This window comes from Homo sapiens, chromosome 1 (assembly GCF_000001405.40).
Source record: "Homo sapiens chromosome 1, GRCh38.p14 Primary Assembly".
NCBI classification, from domain to species: domain Eukaryota; kingdom Metazoa; phylum Chordata; class Mammalia; order Primates; family Hominidae; genus Homo; species Homo sapiens.
In genome coordinates this window covers 46,786,252-46,797,347 of record NC_000001.11, presented here as the reverse complement: position 1 = coordinate 46,797,347, position 11,096 = coordinate 46,786,252, and the positions used below count along the sequence as shown (strand labels likewise).

Here is an 11,096-nt window from a genome sequence, read left to right as displayed (position 1 = left end):
AATTTCTGTTCTTTTACATTTGCTGAGGAGTGCTTTACTTCCAACTATGTGGTCAATTTTGGCATAAGTGCGATGTGGTGCTGAGAAGAATGTATATTCTGTTGATTTGGGGTGAAGAGTTCTGTAGATGTCTATTAGGTCCGCTTGGTGCAGAGCTGAGTTCAATTCCTGGATATCCTTGTTTAACTTTCTGTCTTGTTGATCTGTCTAATGTTGACAGTGGGGTGTTAAAGTCTCCCATTATTATTGTGTGGAAGTCTAAGTCTCTTTGTAGGTCTCTAAGGACTTGTTTTATGAATGTGGGTGCTCCTGTATTGGGTGCATATATATTTAGGATACTTAGCTCTTCTTAATGAATTGATCCCTTTACCATTATGTAATGGCCTTCTTTGTCTCTTCTGATCTTTGTTGGTTTAAAGTCTGTTTTATCAGAGACTAGGATTGCAACCCCTGCCTTTTTTTGTTTTCCATTTGCTTGGTAGATCTTCCCCCATCCCTTTATTTTGAGCCTATGTGTGTCTCTGCACATGAGATGGGTCTCCTGAATATAGCACACTGATGGGTCTTGACTCTGGGATGCATTTAAAGCAATGTGTGGAGGAAATTTATAGCACTAAATGCCCACAAGAGAAAGGAGGAAATATCTAAAATTGACACCCTAATATCACAATTAAAAGAACTAGAGAAGCAAGATCAAACACATTCAAAAGCTAGCAGAAGGCAAGAAATAACTAAGATCAGAGCAGAACTGAAGGAGACAGAGACACAGAAAACCCTTCAAAAAAATCAATGAATCGAGGAGCTGGTTTTTTGAAAGGATCAACAAAATTGATAGACCGCTAGCAAGACTAATGAAGAAAAGAGAGAAGAATCAAATAGACGCAATAAAAAATGAAGGGGGGTATCACCACCAATCCCACAGAAATACAAACTACCATGAGAGAATACTATAAACACCTCTATGCAAATAAACTAGAAAATCTAGAAGAAATGGATAAATTCCTGGACACATACACCCTCCCAAGAATAAACCAGGAAGAAGGTGAATCCCTGAATAGACCAATAACAGGCTCTGAAATTGAGGCAATAATTAATAGCCTACCAATCAAAAAAAATCCAGGACCAGACGGATTCACAGCCGAATTCTACCGGAGGTACAAAGAGGAGGTGGTACCATTCCTTCTGAAACTATTCCAATCGATAGAAAAAGAGGGAATCCTCCCTAACTCATTTTATGAGACCAGCATCATCCTGATACCAAAATCTGGCAGAGACACAACAAAAAAAGAGAATTTTAGACCAATATCCCTGATGAACATCGATGCAAAAATCCTCAATAAAATACTGGCAAACGGAATCCAGCAGCACATCAAAAAGCTTATCCACCATGATCAAGTTGGCTTCATCCCTGGGATGCAAGACTGGTTCAACATATGCAAATCAATAAATGTAATCCATCATATAAACAGAACCAAAGACAAAAACCACATGATTATCTCAATAGATACAGAAAAGGCCTTCAACAAAATTCAACAGCCCTTCATGCTAAAAATTCTGAATAAATTAGGTATTGATGGGATGTATCTCAAAATAATAAGAGCTATTTATGACAAACCCACAGCCAATATCATACTGAATGGGCAAAAACTGGAAGCATTCCCTTTGAAAACTGGCACAAGACAGGGATGCCCTCTCTCACCACTCCTATTCAACATAGTGTTGGAAGTTCTGGCCAGGGCAATCAGGCAGGAGAAAGAAATAAAGGGCATTCAATTAGGAAAAGAGGAAGTCAAATTGTCCCTGTTTGCAGATGACATGATTGCATATTTAGAAAACTCTATCATCTCAACCCAAAATCTAAAATCTCCTTAAGCTAATAAGCAAATTCAGCAAAGTCTCAGGATACAAAATCAATGTGCAAAAATCACAAGCATTCCTATACACCAATAACAGACAAACACAGAGCAAAATCATGAGTGAACTCCCATTCACAATTGCTTCAAAGAGAATAAAATACCTAGGAATCCAACTTACAAGGGATGGGAAGGACCTCTTCAAGGAGAGCTACAAACCACTGCTCAATGAAATAAAAGAGGATACAAACAAATGGAAGAACATTCCATGCTCATGGATAGGAAGAATCAATATCATGAAAATGGCCATACTGCCCAAGGTAATTTATAGATTCAATGCCATCCCCATCAAGCTACCAATGACTTTTTTTCACAGAATTGGAAAAAACTACTTTAAAGTTCATATGGAACCAAAAAAGAGCCCACATTGCCAAGTCAATCCTAAGCCAAAAGAACAAAGCTGGAGGCATCATGCTACCTGACTTCAAACTACACTACAAGGCTACAGTAACCAAAACAACATGGTACTGGTGCTAAAACAGAGATATAGACCAATGGAACAGAACAGAGCCCTCAGAAATAATATCACACATCTACAACCATCTAAGCTTTGACAAACCTGACAAAAACAAGAAATGGGGAAACGATTCCCTATTTAATAAATGGTGCTGGGAAAGCTGGCTAACCATATGTAGAAAGCTGAAACTGGATCCCTTCCTTACACCTTATACAAAAATTAATTCAAGATGGATTAAAGACTTAAATGTTAGACCTAAAACCATAAAAACCCTAGAAGAAAACCTAGGCAATACCATTCAGGACATAGGCATGGGCAAGGACTTCATGACTAAAACACCAAAAGCAATGGCAACAAAAGCCAAAATTGACAAATGGGATCTAATTAAACTAAAGAGCTTCTGCACACCAAAAGAAACTACCATCAGAGTGAACAGGCAACCTACAGAATGGGTGAAAATTTTTACAATCTACCCATCTGGCAAAGGGCTAATATCCAGAAACTACAAAGAACTTAAACAAATTTACAAGAAAAAATCAAATAACCCCATCAAAAAGTGGGTGAAGGATATGAACAGACACTTCTCGAAAGAAGACATTTATGCAGCCAACAGACCCATGAGAAAATGCTCATCATCACTGGCCATCAGAGAAATGCAAATCTAAACCACAATGAGATACCATCTCACACCAGTTAGAATGGCAATCATTAAAAAGTCAGGAAACAACAGGTGTTGGAGAAGATGTGGAGAAATAGGAACACTTTTACACTGTTGGTGGGACTGTAAACTAGTTCAACCATTGTGTAAGTCAGTGTGGTGATTCCTCAGGGATCTAGAACTAGAAATACCATTTGACCCAGCCATCCCATTACTGGGTGTATACCCAAAGGATTATAAATCATGCTGCTATGAAGACACATGCACACGTATGTTTATTGCAGCACTATTCACAATAGCAAAGACTTGGAACCAACCCAAATGTCCATCAATGATAGACTGAATTAAGAAAATGTGGCACATGTACACCATGGAATACTATGCAGCCATAAAAAATGATGAGTTCATGTCCTTTGTAGGGACATGGATGAAGCTAGACACCATAATTCTGAGCAAACTATCACAAGGATAGAAAACAAAACACTGCATGTTCTTGTTCATAGGTGGGAAATGAACAATGAGAACACTTGGACACAGGATGGGGAACATCACACACCGGTGCCTGTCAGGTGGCGGGGGGAGGAGGGAAAGCATTAGGAGAAATACCTAATGTAAATGACGAGTTAATGGGTGCTGCACACCAACATGGCACATGTATACATATGTAACAAACCTGCACGTTGTGCACATGTACCCTAGAACTTAAAGTATATTTTAAAAATTTTTAAAAAGCAAGTCACTTGAGTCAGAGAATAAAGAAACATGATGAGCTATCAGCAGAATTCCATTCTTGATGGTGAATTCATTTATCAGCATAGTTTCAGCCTGGTCATATGATGGAGTGTTTCAGGGAAAGCCTAAATGGGCTCCCACCTGATGAAAGAGCCATGGCTCCTGGCAAGGACCACATAGGATTCACCTGGGAAGGGAATAGGGTTAGCCTAGAAGATGTTGAGTGGGTAGAGTGGACGTCAGTTGAATGACTCCCCAGCATCCATTCCTTGCTTCCCCCTTCCACCCAGTACCATGAATTTGCAAGCCTTGGGTGCATTCAGATTGCCCTCACCCTCAACTCCAGTATGGTCTTATATTTATTTAACATAGTCTGCATTCATCTTGCCCACAATAATTGATTCTTTCAAGAATAGGCACACGAACAAAGTCAGCCAATCAGGGCGAATGAAATCTATTTCCAGTATTTAATTTAAGCTATCTTGAAACAGATTCTCTCTTTAATATTGAATTCGATCCTAGAGCATGTAATCTCAGAAGCCATCAATGTGGAAAGAGGCAGACAAGAATGTACTCAACACCATAGCAACAGAACTGAGAAACATACTAAAAGGAACTAAATATCAGTCACATTGTTTGAACTCCTGGATCAAGCTTCACCTGAAGCTAGAATTACCTTTCACTTTTTATTTTATTTTATTTCATTTTATTTTATTTCATTTTATTTTTTAGACTCGGGGGAACATGTGCAGATTTGTTACATGGCTATATTGTATGATGCTGAGGTTTGGGCTTCAGTTGAACCCATGACCCAAATAGTGAACATAGTACCCAATAGGAAGTTTTTCAACCCTTGCTGCTCTTCTTCCCTCCCCACCTTTGGAGTCCCCAGTGGCTGTTGTTTCCCTCTTTATGTCCATTTGTACCCAGTGTTTAGCTCCCACCTATAAGTGAGAACATGCAGTTTTCTGTTTCTGCATTAATTCACTTAAAAAAGTGACCTCCAGCTGCATCCATGTTGCCACAGAGGACATGATTTCATTATTTGTAATGGCTGTGTAGTATTCCATGGTGTATATGTACCACATTTTTCTTATCTGATCCACTGCTGATGGGCACCTAGGTGGATTCCATTGAGTCTTTGCTATTACAGATAGTGCTGCAATAAACATGCAAGTACAGATATCTTTTTGGTAGAACAATTTATTTTCCTTTGGGATTACTGGGTCAATGGTAATTCTTTTTTCAGTTCTTTGAGAAATCTCCAACTGCTTTCCACAGTGGCTGAACTAATTTACATTTCCACCAACAGTGTGTAAGTGTTCCCTTTTCTCTACAACCTTGCCAACACCTGTTATTTTGTGAGTTTTTGGTAATAGCCATTTTGACTGGTATGAGATGGCATCTCATTGTGGTTTTGATTTGCATTTCTCTGATGATTAATGATGATAAGCATTTTCATATGCTTCTCAGTTAGTTGTGTGTCTTCTTTTGAAAAGTGCCTATTCATGTCCTTTGCCCACTTTTTAATGGGGTTGCTTATTGTTGATTTATTTAAGTTCCTTATAGATTCCGGATATTAGTCCTTTTTTGGATGCATAGCTTGAAAATATTTCTCCCATTCGGTAGCTTGTCTGCTTACCCTGTTGATAGTTTCTTTCTTTCTTTTTTTTTTTTTTTTTGAGATGGAGTCTCACTCTGACACCCAGGCTGAGTGCAGCGACGCGATCTCGGCTCACTGCAAGCTCCACCTCCCGGGTTCATGCCATTCTCCTGCCTCAACCTCCCGAGTAGCTGGGACTACAGGTGCCCACCACCACGCCTGGCTAATTTTTTATATTTTTAGTAGAGACAGGGTTTCACTGTGTTAGCCAGGATGGTCTTGATCTCCTGACCTCGTGATCCGCCCCCCTCAGCCTCCCAAAGTGCTAGGATTATAGGCATGAGCCACTGCGCCTGGCCACTGATAGTTTCTTTTGTTGTTTCTTTAGTTTAATTAGGTCCCAGTTGTCAATTTTTGTTTTTTTTTTTGCATTTACTTTTGAGGATTTAGTCATAAATTCTTTGCCTAGGCCAACGCTTTGACTCTTAATTACATGAACCAACAAATCGCCTTTGTTTAAATTCAATCTGAGTTGGGTTTTCTGCTGCTTGAAACCAAAGTATTTCTATGTGATATACTAGGGAAAACCTGGGAAAATGAGAAAGCCTTGGCTAAATTGGGCTGAAACATATTTAGGGGGTTAGCTTGGGACAAACTGAATGAAATTAACCTGGGAAGGGACAAGTGGGATTATCTTGGTACATTTTGAGCAGTGGGGCTTGCCTGGGAAATACTGAGGGAGTTCATAGAGAAGTTCTAAGTGGTATTAGCCTGGGCAAAGCTTCCATAAGATAGGAGCAAGCAATAATCTGGATATGGTGAAAGTGAGGGGCATAGTTTAGAGAAGAAGCAGATATCTGAGACATTATCAAGCAGAAAACACAAAGGAGAGGAACATGTTAGGAAACTGGAGTGTCAAGTGCAGGGTTAGCATAGAGGGGTAAGGAGACTAAACTTTGTCTTCTAGGCTGCAGGGGGCCATGGAGAGGGCCTTAAGCAGAGAGACAAGGGTGATCAGAGGTGAGGTCCAGAAAGATCACCTCCTCTGTATGTGTGCAATGACTTGGGCTGGTGGGGGTGGGGCCTGCAGAAGGGTTGGAGAGGAGAGAGGAAGCTATCAATGCACTGATCTTTGTGGAAGATGACAAACCTGGACAGGGAGGTGGCAGAAGGCATGAGTCAAGGCTGGTGGGGTGCAAGGGGGCTGGAGCTCAGTGTGGATTGGCAGGCAGGGAGAGGAAGTCAGAGGGAGAATGAGCAGGGTGGATGTTGCTTGTGCCTCAGAGGTCCTACATACCTTCTCCTGCCAGAAATATAGCCCAGCACTCGTGATCTATTTTCCATACACCCTGCTCTCCACCCCTTGGCTGAAATCTGGCAGCCACCCACATTTTTAGGGCAAAAAACAAGTCATCATGTGACCAGAGCCAGAGGCTAGGCTTCAGTCAACTCCCAGGTCCTGATCCTACTAGCTACATACCCTGACCATCTTGGCAGTGTGATTTGTGGAAGCCAAAGTTCTTGGAAGCTTCCACCCAGTAGTCTTAGTTCTTCCTTTAAGAGTCCCATAGAAAACTTCAACTGTAAAAAAAAAAAAAAAAAGGCTTGTAGATGGCCCCCAGTCCATTAGTGTACTGAACAGGCTGGCACTGGCTCTCAAGAGCAGATTGTGTATATCACTTCCCAACTCTAGGTTTGGTGTCACATTAGCAGCTTGAAATTGGCTATCATAGGAGTATTTAATATTTACATGACAGAAATTGGCAAATGCTACAAATCCCACTTTTTCCCCTGAGAAGCCAGTTGTTAAACACTTTCAAACATACCATTGATCCTAACCCCCGGGCTGCAGAGTTACTATAGCAGCTCTCCTTGACCACTGGTACTTGCCTAAGAGATCTCCGTTATACAGGACTGTAGGGCAAGACTAGAAGCCTCCCTTTCAGACTCCTTGGGAAAAAAATCTTTAGGCCTTTAGCAAAGATTAATTCCCATGTGTCTGAAGAGGTCTGGGGTTATGGGAGTAGGGAAGGGAGGCTGCAAAGAGATGGACATAATGAGACCGCCTTTATCCAAGTCCTTCCTAACTGCTCTCTTCCTCCAGGATGCCATCCTCCACACGCCTCCACTTCAGAAACGCCAATTAGGCCAGTTTTCTAAATCTTCCACCTCAGTCTGCAACTTTTCTTAGCTGCATTCACTTTCAGTCTTGTAGCAGTTATTTCTCTTATCTTTGTCTTATCCTTGTAAAAGAAAAATAAATCTTGGGCCCCCAAAATCACTAACTAAAGGGAAAAGTCAAGTTGGGAACTACTTAGGGCAAACCTGTCTCCAATTCTATTCAAAGTCATCCCTCTACTCATTGAAATAAATGCATATCTGACTGCCTCCTTTGGAGAAGCTAATCAGAAACTCAAAAGAATGCAACCATTTGTCTCTTATCTGAAGGGGGCCAGCCCCTCCACAAACTGTGGGTGTTTCTCCTCAGGTGGGATGAGAGACTGAGAAAAGAAATAAGAGACAGAGACAAAGTATAGAGAAAGAAAAGAAAGAAAGAAAAGACAGAAAGAAAGAAAAAGGGACCTGCACTCAGCATATGGAGTACCTGTGCCCTCCTGCACTGGTCTCTGAGTTCCCTTGGTATTTATTGATCATTATCTCTACCATCTTGGAGAGGGGGATGTGGCAGGACAATAGGGTAATAGTGAGGAGAGGGTCAGCAGGAAAACATGTGAACAAAGGTCTCTGTGTCATAAATAAGTTTAAGGAAATGTGCTGTGCCTTGATGTGCATGCACACAAACATCTCGGTTCAATAAAGAGCAGTATTGCCACCAGCATGTCTCACCTCAAGCCCTAAGGTGGTTTTCTCCTATCTCAGTAAATAGAACATACAATCGGGTTTTACACCAAGACATTCTATTCCCAGGGACGAGCAGGAGACAGATGCCTTCCTCTTATCTCAACTGCAAAGAGGCCTTCCTCTTTTACTAATCCTCCTCAGCACAGACCCTTTACAGGTGTCGGGCTGGGGGATGGTCAGGCCGTATCTCAGGCTATCACATGTGGAGAAACCTTGGACAATACCTGGCTTTCCTAGGCAGAGGACCCTGCAGCCTTCCGCAGTGTGTTGTGTCCCTGGGTACTTGAGATTAGAGAATGGCGATGACTTTTACCAAGCATATTGCCATCAAGCACTTTTTTAACAAAGCACATCCTGCACAGCCCTAAATCCATTAAACCTTGAGTCAACACAGCACAGGTCTCTGCAAGCACAGGGTTGTGGTTAGGGTTACAGATTAACAGCATCTCAAGACAAAAGAATTTCTCTTAGTACAGAACAAAATGGAGTCTCTTATGTCTACTTCTTTCTACATAGACGCAGTAACAGTCTGATCTCTCTTTCTTTTCCCCACATTATCTATCTACCTATGACCTAGAAGTCCCCTCCCCACTTCAAGTTGTTCTGCCTTTGGCCTTTGCTTCAAGTTGTCCTGCCTTTCCAGATCGATCCAATGTTCTTCTTACATATGTTGATTGATGTGTCATGTCTCCCTAAAATGTATAAAACCAAGCTGTGCCTTGACCACCTTGGGCACATGTCTTCAGGACCTCCTGAGGCTGTGTCACAGGCATCTCTCAACCCTGGCAAAATAAACTTTCTAAATTAACTGAGATCTGTCTCAGATATTCAAGGTTCACATTTTGTAACCATGGAGGGATTCTGAGTGAAGGTGCCCCGACCTTTGACAAATCTCCTGTTAGTGCTTGGTACCAGCCTGAGCTATCTATATTGCTCAAACCAGAAGGACAATAGGACAATTTGCTGAGGCCTGGAAGCACCCTCTCCAGAAAATCCCTGATCTCCTAAAATTTGATGGAGACCTTAAGTTTATTTTGCCGTATGACTTTTTCTTTTTCTTTTTTTTTTTTTTTTTTTTAGTTTTACTTGCTTCCAACATAAGGAAGGCAAGTTTTCCTGCTTCCATGATGATGGAAGATGAGTAATTCCTTTATGGAGTTTGAGCTCTCTTCCAAGAAAAGACAAGTTTGAGTTTTTTCCTGCTTTGAGGATGGTGGAAAGCAGTCTTCTGCCTCAGACCCATCCCTAAGTAAGTAACTGAATTGGGGTTTGTCTTGGCTAAAGTTAAAATTAACAACCCGCTGATCTTAATTTCTCCTTACCATTACAGTGCTCAGTAATCATATAAGTTGAGCAATTGTTTGTTTTGCTTAACTGGTTTTTGTTGATGTTGTTGTTTGGTTGTTTACATTTTTGCCGTTGTTTCAGTCTTTTTCCCACTGAGCTTGACCAACTCTATCCAACTTGATCAAATCCGAAGGAAAGTTCCAAATTATGGGGAACAAGACCTCTGAAGTGGCTAAATTCCCACACACACACAGAAAAAGGTGGTGTGGTGGGGGGGAGAAAACAGCCAGCAAAAGGGGGAAAAAAGATTTTTTATTTTGACTACTTAAGGGTCTTTATTTACATAACAATGCCAGGCTTTTGCTAACCAGGCCAAACTGAAAGAACTATGGCTGTCACCCCACACTGCAGTTGGATAGCTAAAGTTCTGCCCCCTTTTTTTCCACCACGACACCCTGGATTTGGTTCCTAAATCAAGCCCTTTCTGGTTTGATACTTGGTACTTCTGAAATAGCAGCAATTTGTCCTAGCTGAAATGTGGTAATGAGATTTTAAAAGATTTTTTTAAAGGAGCTCAGTGGTTAAAAGTCAGCTTAATAAGTTAGCTTTTAAGCTAACATCCAAGGTAAGTGTCTGTATGTGTGTGTATATGTGTTTGTATTTAAAAGGCCATCATGCTTTTGTTTTTGTTTTGTTTCTCTCCTAGAACTTGCCTTTTATTTAGCAAAGTTTTTTTTCTTCTCCGTTGACTGAATACTGTTTTCTTCATTTACTTCTGCTGTCTCTCCTTTCTCTTTCACCCTCTGCTGCATGAGAGACCTAAAATAATTTATAATAGCCTGGAGTTCCTTAAAGAAAATGGAGAAGGCACAACACTCCCACTGGGGAGAAACCTCTCTTTTTCTTTATGGAACCCCAAGAGTGTAAATAGACAAGTTTGTCTCAGCTCTTAAGCTGCTTGATTTTGTATTGTGTTACCTAATTTTTTGACTAAAATAGTTGTTGCAAGAGAGGCTACTCCTGGGTTTTTAAGGAAGAGTGTAACTTAGATACTTAAAAATGTCCTCATTTAAAAAAAAAAAAAAAGCCGGGCAGGGTGGCTCATGCCTGTAATCCTAGCACTTTGGGATGCTGATCACCTGAGGTTGGGAGTTCAAGACCAGCCTGACCAACATGGAGAAACCCTGTCTCTACTAAAAATACAAATTAGCCTGGTGTGGTGGCACGTGCCTGTAATCCCAGGTACTCAGGAGGCTGAGGCAGGAGAATCGCATGAACCCAGGAGGTGGAGGTTGCAGTGAGCCAAGATCATGCCATTGCACTCCAGCCTGGGCAACAAGAGCAAAACTCCATCACAAAAAAAAAAAAAAGTGCACTGTAAAAGCATCACATGGCCTGATAATAATTCTTCCTTTTTGGAGACCCAGGATTCAATGTGGGCTTGTCCAAAGCTCAGAGATCCAGTTAAAAGATAGGAAGTCCCTATCTAAATAAAATTGGTCTCCCTATACAATCCTATGACACATTTCTATAATTTTATGTTTGATTTGGCATCTATCTTTAATTTTTCTCTAGCGCCACAAG

General features: G+C 41.0%; 1 annotated feature.

Annotated features, from left to right (window-relative positions):
- Nucleotides 6,131-6,631: an enhancer, noted in NCBI's record as "H3K27ac hESC enhancer chr1:47256389-47256889 (GRCh37/hg19 assembly coordinates)". NCBI's record gives its function as "activates a minimal SCP1, AML or CMV promoter by ChIP-STARR-seq in naive H9 embryonic stem cells {active_cell/tissue: H9 hESC(naive)}" and the evidence as "EXISTENCE:reporter gene assay evidence [ECO:0000049][PMID:30033119]".